We start from the raw sequence: 19,477 nt of genomic DNA, 5'->3' as shown, positions 1-19,477 counted from the left end.
TCACAAAACAATTATACTGAGTGAAAGAAACCAGACCAAAAAAGTATGTACTGTCTGATTCCATTTACATAAACTCTAGAAAATGCAAACTAATCTATAGTGACTGAAAATTCATTTGTGGTTGCTTGGGATGGGGGAGGGACAGGTGGGAGGCATTACCAAGGAGCTTGAGGAAATTTTTGGTGGTGATGAATATGTTCACTATCTTGATTCTAAAGATGGCTTAGGATATGTGTGTGTGTGTGTGTGTGTGTGTATGTATATATATATGTCAAAACCTATTAATTTGTACAATTTAAATAGTTTAGTTCATTATCAATTATATCACAATAAAGCTCTTTTAAAATTCCTGTATATTTTCTATTAATCCTTATAATTTGATTTATAGTAAGTATTTAACTCTAATTTACCTGGAATTCATTTTGTAGTATGAATGAAAATATTTTCCTTCCCAGTAGTATTTTACTGCATAATAATAATAATCTTTCCTGTTGCTATGCACAGCCTTGTCTAGCATATATTGATACCTATGCAAGTATTTGTTTATACTCCAGGGTTTGTCTATATTAACACCCTTTTAAATTATAGTTCAACTTAATTGTGATTATAGCTTATAATATATTTAATAGCTAGCAAGTGACATTCTTCTTTATTTTAATATTCCTTTCCTGCCTAACCTTAACCTAATCAAAAGAATCTCAGATCTTAGCATTACTAACAGAAGATAATATTTAAACCCAAAGGATTATTTTAATACAATTTTAAATGAGAAAGGTAATAAATGTTGCAATTTGGACTTTTTTTAAACATTTTAGGAAGGAGTATAAGGAAAGGGGAGCTCAAATAGCTGCAATACTAGCTGAAGTAAGGAGCTTCACTTTAGCCAAACCGGAAAACCCTAATACTGACAATCATATGCCCCGACTTCTTTTCTCCTGCCCAGACTTTAATCACTGGTTCTCACAGAGCATTAGCCAGGGGAAGAGTATTTTTTATGTCTCCGATAGGCAAGGAAGATAACTAAACTCAAGGGCAATGTCAGGTAAGGGAAGGTTTTTAAAGAATACAGACAGTGTGTGGTACAAAGACAAACACATACGTAGGAATATACTTGGGAATTTCATAGGCAAGATAAAATTGTATATTGTTTGGGTGTTGCATGGATATGAGAAGCAGAGTAGTTTTGGGGCTCATGATAATTTCCTTTGATTAGTTTTGCCTAAGTATAAGTTGTCTGCCTTGTTGCCTTCTGGCTTTGTCCAGTTATTTTAAGTCTACTCATTTATATGTTAGAAGCTAGATTATTTTCTTAAGTTAAAAAGAACTGCGTCACGTTTTTGTTTGTTTGTTTTTTTTCATTAGTTTCCCATGTTGGGAGTTGTAATTGCAGAGTATTCCCTTCTACTCCAAAATAAACAACCTTTTAATCCAGTGTGTGAGAATCAGAATGATTGCTCTGGAGGAGTACAAAGAGACAATAATCAAGCAGTTAACACTTATTAAATACCTACTGTGTACATAAACTACCTTGAAAGTATGTTTAAAGGGAGAATTTAATCTGAACAATCTGAGTAAATGTAAGAGTTCTTTATTTGTAATAGCCATTTTCTAAAGGTAAATAGCTATCACTGAGACAATTTTTACTTTTAAAGGTGAAGAGGTGTTGAATGAAGCAGGATGCATTAGTAAACCAGTAAATTAAAATTTGTGCTTTGCTATCAAACCCAGTGCCTCTAGGAAAGTAATTGAGCTTGATTTCCTTCATCCTTATAAAGGAATTGATGGTGTCATCAACCTCCTAGGATTGTGGGAGATTCAAATATAACATAATTGAATATTTTGCAAACAGTAAATCACCATACAAATTTAGTTATTATGGTTGATAAAAGCTTGTTACTTCTCCAGATAACCAACTACACATAACATTTGCAGAGATTATTTCAGACACTCTATGAATCACTAACATTATCAATGTATTCCCTAATAGTTGGAAGAAAACCATCACCATTTAAGCTCATGGAGAAAAAGCCATCACAGATGGGAGTAACACAGCAGAGAACAAACCTCTAGAGAGAGATTCCCCACCCCACATCCCCAGCTCCCACACCACAGAATCAGAGTGGTGACAGTTCTGCTGATCCTTCCACTCTCTCTTCCTTGTCCTCTTATTGGGTGGTCGGCCTGGCACACTTGCCCAGTGACATTACTGGTGAAAACCCTGTGAATTCTCAGGTCACTGATGAAGACAAAGGGAACTATAGGAGCCACCAAAGCAGACGACAACTTCTGATTACTCAGAATCCAGATTTTGCCTTTCCCTTCTCCTCTGTAGTCTCCTGTACCTCTCTAGCTTTCTCACATTTCTTCCTTCCTGAGCCATGGTATTCTCAAAGCTCCTCTGCCTTACCTGTGTCTTAACCCAAACAGCATCATTCCCTGCTGGAAATCCAGTACAACAGAGGCATTGTTCTTTCATTGCCTGTATCTACAATGTTTAAGTATCTTTAATTATGCTTTTATTGACTTTCTTATTTCAGTTAGATTTCAGAGCCAGCTAATTTTCCATACAATTCTTTTTGTACAGAGGATGACAATCAACCCACCCCTACCAGCCCACATTATAGGGAAAGGAGATAAGAACCAAACTTTGAACCTAACTTTGTTCTAGAGTCTGGTTGGGTTCTGCCTGGGTCCACCTGCTTGACTTTGACTTTGTGACCCTTCCACCCCCTCATGACTATGCCTTGGCCAGCCTCTGGCCTGATTCCCTTTTCTGGCTGCCAACCTCGCACTAGCTCCCTTAGGTTATAAAAATATTAGCGCATTTAATTCCTAGTAAGACGGCAATGAACAAATTGACATATTATTCAAATACCAAGCTTGGAAGGGAATTCCATTTGCTCTTATTAGTACCATTAGCAGCAGTCATTCTCTGTCAGAAGGTCAGAGCCATGTAGATGAGTATATAGAACATTTCAATGAGGCCCATTCTTTGAGGTAAAAACTTCAACTGTGCCAGTCAAACTGATTGACAGTATTTGGGTAGAAGAAGAGTTTCTCCAATTTATAAGGGCATGCTCCTAAACAAAGCTTTCTTTACACTTTACATAAGAAAAATCCAGAGCTGCCCTAAAAATCTTGTTACTATTTCTGAGCAGTGTCGGTGTAGAATGACATAAATACCGGAAAGTCTTCTAAATCTTATTACATAATGATAATTGCTAACATTTTTGCAGGTTTACTATATGTCAGGCACTTTGTGAGCACGTTACAAGTATCATCTCTGTACATATTATAAAATTAACATAGATTAAGAGTAGGCAGGATGGCGTAGTAGTTGAGCTGATTAAATAGAGCTCTCTCTGATTAACTGTATGCTGTTTGGGGGATTACTTAACCTCTCGGGCCTTAATTTCTTCATCTGTAAAATAAAGATGGTAAAAGTACCCTGCTCATAGGGTTGTTGTGAGGATTGATGGAGAGATAATAACTACTTATTTTTTTATTTTTTTATTTTTTGAGATGAAGTCTCACTCTGTCACCCAGGCTAGAATGCAGTGGTGCGATCTGGGGTCACTGCAACCTTCACCTCCCTGGTTCAAGTGATTCTCCTGCCTCAGCCTCCTGAGTAGCTGGGACTACAGTAGACCCACACCACCATGCCTGGCTAGTTTTTGTTTTGTTTTTGTATTTTTAGTAGAGACGGGGTTTCGCCATGTTGGTGCCAGACTGGTCTTGAACTCCTGACCTCAGGTGATCCACCCACCTTAGCCTCCCAAAGTACTGGGATTACAGACGTGAGCCACTGCATCCCACCACTACTTACATTTCTTCAGTGATTTCCATGTTCTATGACTGTTCTCCAAAAAAAAAGGGTTAATTGCCTTAAATAGGTTAAACAAAAAGTACTTAGAACAGTATCTGGCACTTAGAAAGTCTTCTATTTTCTTAAATCCGAGAACTCATGGAACTCTCACATGATGTGCTCCTCTCTGTCCTGCTGTATGTTCAGGTTTCCTAGTATCAAGCCACACATGGTCAGCACATTGCCCAAATGGCTGCTATTCTTTCCTCACTCACTCTGGCTTGTAGTTACTGCCAAAGTCCTCCTTACAGTCAGACTAATGCCCATACTCTTCAGTAATACCTTTCTCCTTTCATTTCTTTATGACCAAGACCATACTCCACCTCCTCCACCATTTTTCTGCATTTTCCACCCTTCTTTTTTTGACTGCAGTGATCATAAGGCTTTGGAAGAAATAAAACCTAACGTCTTATTAGAAAACAGTGGGGGCTTTGATGCTGGAATAACAGCTTCTACTGTCTTCCCACCTATAAATGAACCTGGATATACTGCCAAGAGAAAAAAGTCCATCAAAATGGGGTAAAGACTGGAGAAGAATAATGTACCCAAATCATAAATTCAACAGACGATTGCTTTTTTGACCTTTCTAAACGATGCCTAATTATATACTTTTAAAATTCTTGTATTTTTGGAAGAAATAAAAACACTATTTGTCAAAATCAAAGAATGTTAAGATTTTAACGAAAGAGGAAGTCTCATAAATATTAAGTTTCCACCTCAGTTACATTACATCCCCAAACAAAATTGTCATGTGTCATACATTTCAACTACATACATGATGTAGTTGCGCCTACTTCCAAGAGGATGATTTATGTAAGTTGGTCCTGTTTGAAAAACTTGCATATTGTAAGATACGCTCAGTTTCCTTGGCCACAAAAATCCTGCTCCAGCATTGTATGCAGTAATCGACAATTTTCAAGGGGGCTTAAAAGATAAATCAGTTGTTCTCTACCTGACTTATTGTAAAGAGAAGCAACAGACAAAACACCTCTCAAATCTACTCTTTTTAAATTCTACTTTCATCCCCTTAGCTCATAACCTCCCTCATACTTGTTCTGGATTGTAACATTAACTTCTGGACTCATTTCTGTCTACACACTAGTCTATTTTCTGTGCTGCTGCCATTATTACATTTCCAGACATTTCTGATTCTCATCTCTCCCTGGTTTTCCCATACTGTTCTGTTTCTCAAGATCCTCCTTTCCCCAGCTTCCTATTGAACACTGGCCATTTCTTTAAGGTTTATCCCAGTGCTTCCTTCTCCACACAGCATTTTCTCTCCCCTCCTCTGTAATATCTGCTCTGCACCATTTACTCCTTAGGATACTCCAAGGATTTCCTGAATCAAGGAACTCTGCACTACTACTATCTTTTCAATGTCAGTGTCCAACACAAATATATTCAATATAAGGTTTTTTAAAAAAAATAAATGAGAAAATGAATGAGCATTAAAATTCTTAAGCAAACAAAACTACAGACTACTTGAGACCAACACTTCTCTGGAAAATCTTGGACTTGCAGTCACTAGAATCAAAGGATTTCATTGATCTGTATTTCTGTAGATAAAAGGGAAATTGCACAAAGAATACTCACCTTCTTGTCCTATCTATATCATCCGAATTTAGCAGAGGTGCTTGAAATTAACCTCCGATATTAAATAAAAGACCCTATTTGTTGTGCTTAATTCTAGAGTGTCACTGTCTATTAAGATAGCACTAGACACACGTGGCTATTTCAATTACTTAGCATTAAATAAGATTTGAAATCTGTTTCATCAGTCGCACTAGCTACCTTTCAAGTGTTTAATAGCCACATGTGGCTAGTAGTTACTATATTGGACTAAGAAGATATAGAGCATTTCCAGCATCACAGAATTTTGAACAGATTGCTCTGGAGCTCTGCCTCTCCACCACACCTAAATGTAGGTGTGGCCCAGTTATTCAAGCCCAGTTATCCTCTGCCCATCCTTATATGAGCAGAAATTTCTTTAGAATAAATTTCAAAAACTAATAATTGGAATGTATACCCTATTTAAAATATTTTGTTATTTTCTCTCACAGTCAAGGCATTCCAGATTTTACCATTTGGTATTGAATTTCAGTGAAATTATAAAAATCTACCCTTCCCACTTGATATGAGACTTCTTATTTGCAAATCAGCGGTGAAGACAAACACATATACATGGGTAAAGGGATTCACAGACTTTTCTACTCTTTAACATTATTATTTTAATAATTTCATAAATTTGCATATTTATATTAACTCAGCTAGTTAGTAGCATGATTCAGGCATTCCAATTCTTAAGCCAAGACTCTTTTTCTACACCATGTTGCCTATACATGTTCCATCTAAAGAGTTGGGAAGTCAACAGTTAGACCAGCATATAGCCATGTCTATGACTTCTTGCAGCTTTTTTTCTTTCTTTCTTTTAATTGAGATGGAGTTTCACTCTTGTTGCCCAGGCCGGAGTACAATGGTGTGATCTCGGCTCACTGCAACCTCCGCCTCCTGGGTTCAAGCGATTCTCTTGCCTCAGCCTCACAAGTAGCTGGGATTACAGGCGCCTGCCACCACGCCCAGCTAATTTTTTGTATTTTTAGGACAGATGGGGTTTCACTACGTTGGCCAGGCTGGTCTCCAACTCCTGATCTCAGGCGATCCACCCGCCTCGGCCTCCCAAAGTGTTGGGATAACAGGTGTGAGCCACGGTGCCCGGCCGACTTCTTACAGCTTTATAGCTTCTAGAGAGGAAATACGAGCTCATGTGTTTTCTATATTTCTTGGATTTTCTTTTTCAGACTGCTATTGTCTGAAACAACGAAAAACTATGTAAATACGTTAGACTATTTATTTTGTTAGGACATATTCCTAGTAGTAGAACTGTAGGGCCCAAGGATATGCAATTTTTAAAGACTTTGCTACACATTGCCAGCTTGATCAACTCCCCACCTGCACCCAGTGTACACTGCTATATGATAGCAGTGTATATGTGTTCCCATTTTCCAGACTTTTCCTAAACCAGACATTATCTCCCCCTTCCTCCTTTTGCTTTCCCCTTTAAAAAATAGTTGCTAATTATTAAAATGACATGTGTTTAATTTGTAGATATTTTTAAAATTAAAAGGGAAGTGCTTTTTCTTACAGATTTATGAGACCTCATTACATAACATGGATATTCACTTTTTCTCTTTCATATATGTTGCAAATGTTGTTTCTAATTTGCCATTTATCTTTTTAATTTTGTATATAACATATTCTAGAAGGAGTAAGTTTTCATATTACCATTCCTTTATGATTTTTGTCTTTGAGGTCATCCTTTTCTATCATAAGTTCTATATTTTCTTTCACTACTTTCATAGATCCATATTTTATACTGGAATTGCCAATCCATCCAGTATTTTCTTTCATGTCAGGGATGTGTAGAGGTAAGTAATTTTTCTGAGTAAATGTTCCACCAAACAAATCAAAATTAACAGGTTTCAGATATAAAATATTGTTTATTTAAAATAAATAATTAAAAAATTAAAAACAATTAAAATATTGAAATGGTGTCTAGTGAACATTTCATAACATGTGTGTTTGAGAGTGGGGAATTATTATAGTAATACCACTCTAAAATATCCAGCTAATAATACCATGAAGTGAAGACCAGTTAATTGCCCCTTTATATACTAAAAATATAACTAATTGTTCTTTCCTAGAAATGAGTTTGCATTTTTCCTGTCAGATACTGACCCACACATTGTACAATTCTTGATAAGTTTAATCATTTTTTTTTCTATTTTTTATTATTATACTTTAAGTTTTAGGGTACATGTGCACATTGTGCAGGTTAGTTACATATGTATACATGTGCCATGCTGGTGTGCTGCACCCACTAACTCGTCATCTAGCATTAGGTATATCTCCCAATGCTATCCCTCCCCCCTCCCCCCATCCCACAACAGTCCCCAGAGTGTGATATTCCCCTTCCTGTGTCCATGTGATCTCATTGTTCAATTCCCACCTATGAGTGAGAATATGCGGTGTTTGGTTTTTTGTTCTTGCGATAGTTTACTGAGAGTGATGATTTCCAGTTTCATCCATGTCCCTACAAAGGACATGAACTCATTATTTTTTATGGCTGCATAGTATTCCATGGTGTGTATGTGCCACATTTTCTTAATCCAGTCTATCATTGTTGGACGTTTGGCTTGGTTCCAAGTCTTTGCTATCGTGAATAATGCCACAATAAACATACGTGTGCATGTGTCTTTATAGCAGCATGATTTATGGGTGGCTGGGTCAAATGGTATTTCTAGTTCTAGATCCCTGAGGAATCGCCACACTGACTTCCACAATGGTTGAACTAGTTTACAGTCCCACCAACAGTGTAAAAGTGTTCCTATTTCTCCACATCCTCTCCAGCACCTGTTGTTTCCTGACTTTTTAATGATTGCCATTCTAACTGGTGTGAGATGGTATCTCATTGTGGTTTTGATTTGCATTTCTCTGATGGCCAGTGATGGTGAGCATTTTTTCATGTGTTTTTTGGCTGCATAAATGTCTTCTTTTGAGAAGTGTCTGTTCATGTCCTTTGCCCACTTTTTGATGGGGTTGTTTGTTTTTTTTCTTGTAAATTTGTTTGAGTTCATTGTAGATTCTGGATATTAGCCCTTTGTCAGATGAGTAGGTTGCGAAAATTTTCTCCCATTTTGTAGGTTGCCTGTTCACTCTGATGGTAGTTTCTTTTGCTGTGGAGAAGCTCTTTAGTTTAATTAGATCCCATTTGTCAATTTTGTCTTTTGTTGCCATTGCTTTTGGTGTTTTAGACATGAAGTCCTTGCCCATGCCTATGTCCTGAATGGCAATGCCTAGGTTTTCTTCTAGGGTTTTTATGGTGTTAGGTCTAACGTTTAAGTCTTTAATCCATCTTGAATTGATTTTTGTATAAGGTGTAAGGAAGGGATCCAGTTTCAGCTTTCTACATATGGCTAGCCAGTTTTCCCAGCACCATTTATTAAATAGGGAATCCTTTCCCCATTGCTTGTTTTTCTCAGGTTTGTCAAAGATCAGCATTCTTATACACCAACAACAGACAGAGAGCCAAATCATGAGTGAACTCCCATTCACAATTGCTTCAAAGAGAATAAAATACCTAGGAATCCAACTTACAAGGGATGTGAAGGACCTCTTCAAGGAGAACTACAAACCACTGCTCAAGGAAATAAAAGAGGATACAAACATTCCATGCTCATGGGTAGGAAGAATCAATATCGTGGAAATGGCCATACTGCCCAAGGTAATTTACAGATTCAATGCCATCCCCATCAAGCTACCAATGCCTTTCTTCACAGAATTGGAAAAAACTACTTTAAAGTTCATATGGAACCAAAAAAGAGCCCGCATCGCCAAGTCAATCCTAAGCCAAAAGAACAAAGCTGGAGGCATCACACTACCTGACTTCAAACTATACTACAAGGCTACAGTAACCAAAACAGCATGGTACTGGTACCAAAACAGAGATATAGATCAATGGAACAGAACAGAGCCCTCAGAAATAACGCTGCATATCTAAGTTTAATCATTTTTGATGACAGCCTCTATCGCTTATTGAACAAAACCAAGATATTTTATAATAAAGTCTGATAATAACATACCAAGCACCTCTATTCCTAGTGACTTATAAATGCTATTAACATAATTAATTAAATTTGAGGGTTAATTTCTGAGAATCATACTACCCATTAGTAATTTCCACTTTCCTTCTAAGAGCATTGGCCTTTTACTACACAAAGAGGCAAGAGCTTTCTAATCTATCTTATTCTCCAAATTAATCATTATTGTCGTTATCATTATCATCATGATCATGGTACCATTACTTTCTTTTTCATTTGAAAAGTCTTAGATTTCTAAAAAAAAAATCCAATTCTTTTCATGTCAAAAATTACATAGTGGTCAATAATAAAATTCACCTTAATAAAATCGGAGGTTAAAAAATAACTCCTAAAAATGGAGTATCTAGATGATATTGAGTCATCATTCATTGGCTTGATCTTCATCTATTTTAGAAATATTTTCTTGGAATTTAAATATCATTAATTTTTTAGCAGAGGCTATACTATTTTACTCAATATGGTTGTTTTTTAACATGTTAAAAAACTGTTAAATATCTGTCTCCTTAGTAGAGGTAAATGTTTGCAGATAATTATCTATTGGTCTATGACTCTAGGCAGCTCTAGAGATTAAAGCTAAAATGTTAACAAACACTACAAATTATTCAAAATTAACAAGAAAGCATAATTTAAACAAGAGTTGAAACAAATACTGTACAATTAAAACATCCTGGCAAAATTTACAGTTTAAAGCAAGTACATCAAAAGTCAATTTTGCTTCTTAAGAATGAAAATACCAAAACAACTATAAAAGAATCTTCCATCTTGTGATCTCTGTTAAAATTATTTCAGAAGTTTTTGTGTACATATGGTCTAATGTCAGATGAATAAAGATCACAGAAATTTGGGCATATCTTGGTTTTTACACACTTGTAGCTCTAATATCTAAGCTGGCTGGTAGCCCATAACTACAAAGACTGAGACAACCTCACTGTAGATTTTTTTTCATTTTATTTAATAGAAAGGAACTATCTATACTTTATCATGTATTTTAAAGATGGAATAGTGAAATAAAAATACTTTTTAGTAATTTCCCTCATCCATACTACTCTCTTCTCTGACAGATACAGATTTAACCCTTTCCAGTACCGGCGGGAAAGAAAAATGCTTGGGTAAGAGATCATTTACACTTTTATCTTTACCTTTTGTATATCTTTTCATTTTTTTGTCTCTCTCTGTGTCTCTGTCTTGCTTCTTCTTTCCCTCTTTTATTTTTCTTTTAATAAAACATAACACTTTCTACCTCAGATATTGTCAGTTTCAATAATTTCATACTTTAGAATAGTTTACCAGGTACCATCTTTCACTGATTTTTAGAAACTCCCTATTCTCTAGTAGTAACAACTTATGTTTATGAAAATATCTCATGTTTTGAAAGACATGGTCATAGCTCATTTGTACTCAAACAACAAAGGGAAAAAGAAAGGAATAAATTCAGATACAAGCATGAACATTTACAATATTAGATGCTATTATAGTACTTTTGATATCTGTCATCATGGAAACAGTTCTCTTTATTTGAAATCATGGCAAATAATTTTTTTGAATAATGATTATAATTCCTTGCTTAAACTTAGAAAATGGCTTGGACATATGGAAACTAGAGAGATCAAGGAAATAGCGACGAAAATCACAGAGCATAAATAAATTTAATAAAATCTAAGTTTTCCTTTTGTAAGAAAGCATGCTGTATGAACAAACTTGGGAAAATTTATTGGCTTTTATCCTAATTAGTGCCAATTAAGGGCACATAATTGATTTTAGTTCACTAAGAAAGTATTTTTCAAAAAGATTTTCCTATATCTGCACTTTTTCAGGTGGACAGTGAATACACTAGAATAACAGTAGGGCTTTGCTACTATTTAATTAGGTTTTATTTCTAAAAGCTGCTAAGACAGCTTTGTTCTAAGAGGAAGGAAAGAAGTTGCATTAAGTAAACCCCTGGCTAAAATTAGAGTAAATCCTAATATCTTATGAGAAAGTCAAACATCAAACATCAAACATCAGTAAAAGCCATGAAAAAGTAATTAAAATAAGTTATTATTAAAGAAATTGTTCTCCTTTAACTTGCTCTGTGTGTACCAAAGCCTCCCATTTTGAAACAAGCTGCCAGGGTGATATGTAAACAACGCATGAGAAGGCGTCTGCGCTCTGGGAATTGATGCTCCACACAGCCACACTGAATTGTTTACATTCAGTTCCTACCAGCCTCTAAGCAAAAGAGTTCATTTTGCACTCACCCATGTTGTATTTACTTCTATTTTTAAATCCTGTATCACACATACAGCCACAATGCCTAAAAGATTAGAATGCTAATAGAAATAATAGATGTTTTAAAAAATATAGATAAAACCGGACTATACATGTTAGATGAGGCTCGCAATAATATGATGAAAGAAAAACAAAAGCTCACATACAATAAACACACTAGATAACTTTGCTGGAAAACTTTGTCCTACTGCTTAATTTAGTAGAAGAGACAAGTAGCTTTGGACAAATGCCACTAATAAGGTGTCCTCTAAGAAAAGCGGACCATTTTCAAAAAACAAAACAAGAAAACACTTTGTTCAGGTCTACGCTGATTTGAAGACACCAGTTATTGCATTCTTATTACTTCCTTTGCAGTTTTCTTTCTTTGACTTACACACACACACACACACACACACACTCCCACACACACACACTGCCATAAAACTATAACATTTCACAACATCTTAGACTTTCAAATTAAAAACAGCTGAAACCGGAGGTGGAGGAGCTAGGAGGGTGGGCAGGAGAAATTTATCGGGTGCCCATGTGGGGGTGGGGGTGGGGGCGACAGTGAAATTCCACCCAGCAAGTTATGCCACTGCGACAGAAGTCAGAGAGTTCAGTTTCATAGATTCAATTGTACCTTACCTGGTTTTGTAGTTAAATGCACCAACATGCCCCTTAATTCTTCCTCTGAAGTACTACATATGCTGAAAACTATAGTATTTGACCTTACACATTTCCAAACAAACTCCAAAGTAACCTTTAACTTCAATAAAAAGCTGTGTTCATTCTTCCCCTTGTGCTCAACACACAGCAATCTAATACACCTCATCATGTGGTCCGTTACCATGGTAGCAATGAATCCAGCTGCTGAAATACAAAAGACTGACAAAAAGTTGCTTTTTTCCCCTCCACCCACCCTGACAAAGTCAGATTTTTTTTTCTGTATGACAAGTCTAATTTGAATATGCTTCTCTTGCTGACTCAACTTCATGAACAAGAAAAAAATAACAGAAGTATAAGAATAAAAGGTTTCCCAACTAACTAATGAAATATCTCTATGCATTTTAAGTCACCATTAATCTTTTGAAATACTGATCATTATCTACTACATCAGCCAACTAAATATTTTTAAATGTCAGTTACTAACTCAATAGGAAATGCAGCAATAATCCCACAGCTCCTTTAGAAACATTAAAAAATGCAGTAATGTATTCAGTAAACACAGATGCTGAAAACACTACATCAGTGTATGAAGGGCTAGTTTCAAAGTGCTTTTTTTCTAGAGCAAACTTCTAATCACAGCTTAGATGTGGGAGGTAAAATTCTTCATTTTCTTTTCATCAAAACCCTGTGTTTAACTGTTATTTAAACAGATTTCAGTTCTTTTAAAATTTATCATTTAAATTTAAAGCAGGCAACACAGCCTGCTGGAATCGATCAGGCTATATTTGCTGAGGTGGGGAGGGCTCTATATTAAGAGCAGCAGTCTTGGATTTGAAACGATACAAACTCTGAGCAATCCTGGGACTCCCCAAACCAATGGCTATGTAGTTAGGATTTAAGGAATCACCTTCAGCGCATTACCAGTCCTTTAGGGAAAAGCTGAAGGAGTCCCAGGTGACTGGAGCTTCCCCGCTTGCCAGCATGTCAGCATGGTCCTTCCTCCCACCATGGTACATTAATCAGCCAGTGGGTGCCCCCGTCCTCCAGGGATGGCTACTTCATCCCTCAGGCCTCGCATAATCACTCTGCTCTTGCACAACCTTCCTTATTTCCCAAACTTAGCTTACATTTCACAATAATTTGTTTGCATATCTATCTTCTCTCTTTAGAGATGGACTCCCAGAGGAACAGGAACATTGTCTTACTCATCTTTCTCTACCAAGTAACCATCAAAAGACTTGGCACTAGGTAGGGCTACTTCTTCAATGGATAAAGATGGCATCTGAAAGCTTTCCCTCAACTCCTCCAGGACTGTCTTCAGAGCATGGCTTGCTGTGGTTAAACCCTTCAGAGATCTGCACAGAATTTTTCTTAGTACATCACATCACAAAGAGAGGCAAGGCAGAGGAGTTCTTAAGAAGAGCAATTGTGGAATCAAGCAGATGCGGATTTGAAATCTGGCTCTAGCCCATACTACTTTTGTGATCTTGGATAGGTTACTTAACCTCTCTAACCCTCAGTTTACTCTTCTGTAAAATTCCTACTTTAACAAGGAATGGAAATGGATTAAATGAGATAGTCCAAGGGAAGCACCAAGCTTGAAGCATACTAAATGCTCAATAAATTCTGGCTAGTATTATTTAGTCAATATGTGATTTTTGAACAAGAGGGACCATGAGAAAGCTGACTGGCACGTGACTTCCCTTTGCTGAATAAACTGTCATTTTCAACAAGATGTGCATTAACAATCCTATGTTTCCTAACATAGGTTTACATAACAACACAGCATAAATATAGAGACCTTTTTAGGCAAAGAGCAAGGGCTGCTTGCTCCAACCTACAAACCAGCTAGGAGCAACTGATCAGTCAGAAGGTTAAGCATATTTCTAGTATGAAATGGACTGTGGGAAGAATGTTAAACATGGTAGTTAATTTTTTTCATCTTTAAATATGGAAGAAAAACACAAGTACAGCAGTTCATTGTGGTATTCATTTTGGATTCTTAAAAAATGGTCTATATGTTATTTGTTAATGATACTTTCTCAAATTAAGATGAACTGTAAAGAATCTTCATCATAAAGGGCTTTAAAATATAAATTATATACATAGATTACATTTCTAGTAATTAACCAATATTGTGTCAATAGAAGCCTTTACAAGGTCACCTTGATCTCTAACAAGTACTGTAAACTGCTCACCAGTGTAGACTTTTAGCTGCTTCTCTCCATCGTAATCAAATTCAGGAAATTACCTGACACCAAAGCCAATGGTATAGGAAAATTAGCATTAAAATCCCTTTGAAGAATATGGTACAAAGAAGCAGCCAGGGGTTAAAAAAGCCTGTGGTAGAAAAAAACAATTTTATTTTTCATTGCAGGAAGTTACCAGAAAGAATAAAGTGAATGTTGCACATTGCAAGATTTCTCTATCATTAAAAAGTAAGTAAGAAAGAAAAGCCCCACAACAAATCAGTTGGGATGATTAAAATAGCTTTGGCACTGCTCCAACCTTGAAAAATCCTTCAGCGCGGTGACTCATGATGATCCAATCCAAAAAAATGTGTGAGGCCGACCAGGCAAAAAGGCAAGGAGCAGCTACACCGGAAAATTAGCACTCCCTAATCCTCTTCAAAACAGTTGATGAAGGAGAGACTATTTGAATAATTTGAACCCCAATTTGAATAATTCATACCTATTCTCATGTGTGGCTGGCTGAATAGAGACTCTCACTGACTGCATTCATTTCATCAGGAGTGTTTACCTTGTACATTTTTTTCCCCTGGAGATTGGTTATGTGGCCATTACACGTATCTAATTGTTTTTCATTTTGTAAATGTAAGAGCTTATCATTTATCTAGTTAAGGTACACTGTTACTAGAGCATTTAATATGATTGATTGCCAAACAGAAGGTGCATCCTTTGTCAGATGTTAAAGTGACTGTTGATTCTTTAACCCCTAGGGAATACGACGCCAGTATATTTGGTTTCACAAAGTTTTAAATCCCCTTTTGCAAATGTTAAAATTAAACTTCCCCCTCATGTGAACAAAATATGCAACATAATCTGTGCTCTTGTGACCCACTTAATTTCATATGAAGAATTCAATCACTTAGAAAAAGTTTTTGAGACATAGGTAATGATGCTTCAGAAGGTACCCCAGGAAGTCAATTTGCCAAATCCTAGTCCCATAGAAGCAGGAGGGAGCTTCAAAGTTATATGCTTCACTGCCCTCTCTTCAGATGTGAGAGCACCTAATTTCCTACAAACTCAAGGTAACAACATGGGCTCAGAAGTCACGCGCTTAAATTAAGCAACATGGCTGCAAAAAACGTTGATGGCCAATGTTAATGAAATTAAAACAAGCAAAACAATTTGAACCTCTGAAAATGCAATTTTCACATCATAGTTAAAAATTATTATTTATTTTTTCATACCACAAAGTGCTTTATTGTTAGGGCACTGGTTTAAATTAAAAAAGAAAGTGTGTTGACAGCAACAAAAAAAGATTGTGATCTACTGAACAATTTTTGCAAGCACATTGTTTCTTGGGCCACTTTGAGCAGCTGACCTAAAAAATATTAATCGGATTAGTATCTATTCTGCTCATAAAAATTTCTTATGAAAGAACAAGTCTGTTGCAAGCCATCTCAATTTATACAATTTAATATCAAGATATTCTATTTTACCCTTAAGATATTTCAAACATGCACTTTTCCTTTGAATTGTAACAATGGGGCTATAAATAATAAGGATTTCTTTATGTTTTTCTTCTGTGAGTACATCACAGAAAATATCCGTTTTTAAATAACACTATGAAATTGATGGCTCCATATCTTACAGATAACCTATTGTGAACTCTGAATCATTTTGCCATATCATTTTTGGAAATTTATCCTCAAGCCTCTGTTTTTGTATTTTTTCATGTGTTTAAAAATTATAATTATATACTTATATTCTGAATGTATTCTTAGTGAAAAATACGTTGGTTTTTAAACTTAATAATAAAAACTTGTAACTTTCCATGTTCTCATGAAAAGATAATGTTACATGTCCATTGTAGAGAAGTTGAAAAATACAGAAAACATTTGTGAAATAATATTAAAAGCACTTATAATTCAACTATCAGAAATAACAAGTATCAACATTTTGATGTATTTCTTCATACATTAAAAATTCATGGCTGGGAGCGGTGGCTCATGCCTGTAATCCCAGCACTTTGGGAGGCCGAGGCGAGTGGATCACCTGAGGTCGGGAGTTCAAGACCAGCCTGACCAACATGGAAGAACCCCGTCTCTGCTAAAAATACAAAATTAGCTGGGCATGGTGGCGTATTGCCTGTAATCCCAGCTACTTGGAAGGCTGAGGCAGGAGAATCGCTTGTACCTGGGAGGCGGAGGTTGCGGTGAGCTGAGATCACGCCACTACACTCTAGCCTGGGAAACAAGAGCAAAACTCCATCTCGAAAAAAAAATTCAGAATAATTTTGAATATTGCCTTTTCACTGAAAGACAGACATGTAAAATAAGCACACTATGGTATTATACATTCTTTGAAAATACCTTTTAATAGTGGCATAAAATTTTAACATTCGTATATATCAGAATTTATTTAACTATCCCTTACTGCTAATATATGTTTAGTCTTTTCCAGGTTTCTAATTATAAGCAATATATCTTTGTATATAAATTTTTGGTTATACCTTGGGTTATTTCCTTAGAATAGATTCCTGGAAGTGGAGGGAGATTACTGAGTTTGAGTTAGAAAGTCTAAGAACAAAATTTAAGAATTGGCAGAATCAATACTCATAATTTAGTATTATACCTCATTTTATTGATTTTTATTTATGAGGAATCTGAGGCTTAAAGAGGTGAAATAACTTGCTTAAAGTTCCAGCATGAAATTACTCTAGTGCTAGAAAGGAAACAGAGTTCTTTGTGAGTCCACTTTGCTTTTTGTAATTTTACCATGCTGATTCTAAATGGCAACTCATCTCTGAGGGCTTCCCTCTCAGTTCCAGTTTGATGTCATCTGTGAAACCCCATGAATGTGTTCTGGAGTCCAAGTCAGGAATGGTAGTTACTTTGAGGTGGGTGATGCTGTTTTGTTTGTTTGCTTTTTATTTTTTTTTTATCAGGGACAACCCACACGGCAGTATATCTAAAGGCACCTTCTATTGGTGGCAAGACAGAATTGATACTGAGGAGTAAATATTCTCCCAGATCAAAATCTGTTCTGTGGGAAACAAAATGGAAAAATTCCAAAAGAGCTGAAGGGTCAGGGTGCTCATCAAGTTAGTGAGCTGAGATTGATATAAAATTATTATGGCTCTTTTATGGCCTCTGAGTTCTTTTATGGCCTTTTAGTACGTTGGGGTAGAAGAAAATCCATGTGCTTTGAGTGGAAGACTGTCAGGTAACTCAATAAGTACCTGTCTGGTCGCTCTCTGTGACATTCCCATATCCTGTAAACCCAGGTGTGTTTGCACAGCCATGACATCTCTATTTGATGGATATATTCTCTCTCAGCTAAAGGGAAAAGGGAAGGACATTTCTGAAAATTAAGTCTACCTGTGAAGTCAAGAAAACAGGCAAATTCCTGAGATCTCACTTTTAAAAGAATTCATTTTCTTAGTCTGGATACAAAGATTTAGAGATTATTGTTTCTTAGTTTCTTCTGTGTGGCTTATTCTGAAATGAGATGTACTGATTCAGTACCTTTGAATTAAGTGCTTTCTAAAAACAGTTAATGAACTAGGTGTAGTCAAAGAAATATAAATGGCCTACAATCTAGATGGGGAGATAAGAACATGGAAAAAGGAAATACTAACTGTAGCTATAACAATATATGAGAAGGAATATGACCAACTGATTTGAGAGTAGACAGAGAATTTAATTAGGTCAGTTTAGGCAGAATGTTAAGGAGGGGAAAAATCACCCAGTCAGTGTCCCCTGAGTTTAGAAAGCATTTGTTTGGGGGATATTAGGTGTATTTTCCCAGATTCTTTTACTTTGTATTCAGGGACTTGGAATACATCAGCACAGTACACATTCTAAAGCTCTATGGAGAAATGCCTGATGTACTCTAAAAGCATATTCAGTGACCAAGATGAGATGTAGGAGTGACAGAGTGACTCCACTTTCTCCCTTCCTTCCTTTGTAAGGCTCCCTGGGGAAAGGACAAGTAATTATGTAGTCAGTGGGCAAGGGGAGGGTGAACTATAACTACATATCAAGTAATATGTGTGTATGCATCATAGATAATGGGATGGAGAGAACTGGGAAGCAAATGCGATGTCATGTACCCTGTAGACACACAAAGTTAATTATTGATGACATTATGATAAAAAAAGAATATGAGAAAATAAAGCAAGTTAGAAAAAATTAAGGGAAGACTGTAGAATAAATTATTATGGTAAAACAAAGATTAAGAAACAGTTTGAAAAGGATATAAGGTGATTTGGGGGAAAGAAAAAGAGAAGCATATGTGGTTCAAGAAAACACATAGCAAAATTCCCAAGAAGGGGAGAATAGAAAAGAAGGAAATACTGAAGAAATGCACACTATTGTGGAAATTGTTTGACTAAACTGAGACAAGCAACAAACGAATATTTGGAATTTCATTCTATACACTTAAATGAATTCCATTATTGGAATGAATAAAAAAGGTCCATCTAGTAATTGAACAAATTTCATATAAATTGACCCAAAATATAAAGATAACAGGCACTTTGAACACTTCTGGGTGTCTGTGGTGGCAAATACTCTGCCAGCAAGGACTGTACATCTGATATTTCAGAGATCCCTGGAGTCAATCTGGGAGGCATGCTCCTTGTTCCACACTGGTCAGTTCTCCATCAGGCCACTGCATTCTGTTTGGAGCCTCATAGTGACATGTGAAAGGGAGAAACTGGAAAAGGTAAGATGGTGAACAATAAACAGGAAGGAAAGTGGAAGAGAAGCCTGTGAGGGAGGCACTTGACCATTTGCAAGTATATCCCAGTGAAAATAATGGTGAATAGATGTTCTTCGTTTTTTACTGAA

The 19,477-nt window shown here is 36.2% G+C and overlaps 1 protein-coding gene across 63 annotated transcripts in view; it reads right to left on the bottom strand.

Moving 5' to 3' along the window:
• DTNA (dystrobrevin alpha) overlaps window positions 1–19,477 on the bottom strand; it is a 398,533-nt gene that overhangs the window by 168,982 nt on the left and 210,074 nt on the right. For 18 of the 63 annotated variants that reach the window (NM_001386795.1, NM_001386788.1, NM_001386758.1 and 15 more), the window contains exon 1: window positions 12,418–12,565. The exons of the other annotated variants lie outside the window; for them this stretch is intronic. The gene's annotated coding sequence lies outside the window, so the exon portion shown is untranslated. Of the gene's footprint in view, window positions 1–12,417; window positions 12,566–19,477 lie in introns of those variants that run through there. 63 annotated transcript variants of the gene reach the window in all.

This window comes from Homo sapiens, chromosome 18, assembly GCF_000001405.40.
Source record: "Homo sapiens chromosome 18, GRCh38.p14 Primary Assembly".
NCBI classification, from domain to species: Eukaryota; Metazoa; Chordata; class Mammalia; order Primates; family Hominidae; genus Homo; species Homo sapiens.
This window is presented reverse-complemented; position numbering and strand designations above follow the sequence as displayed.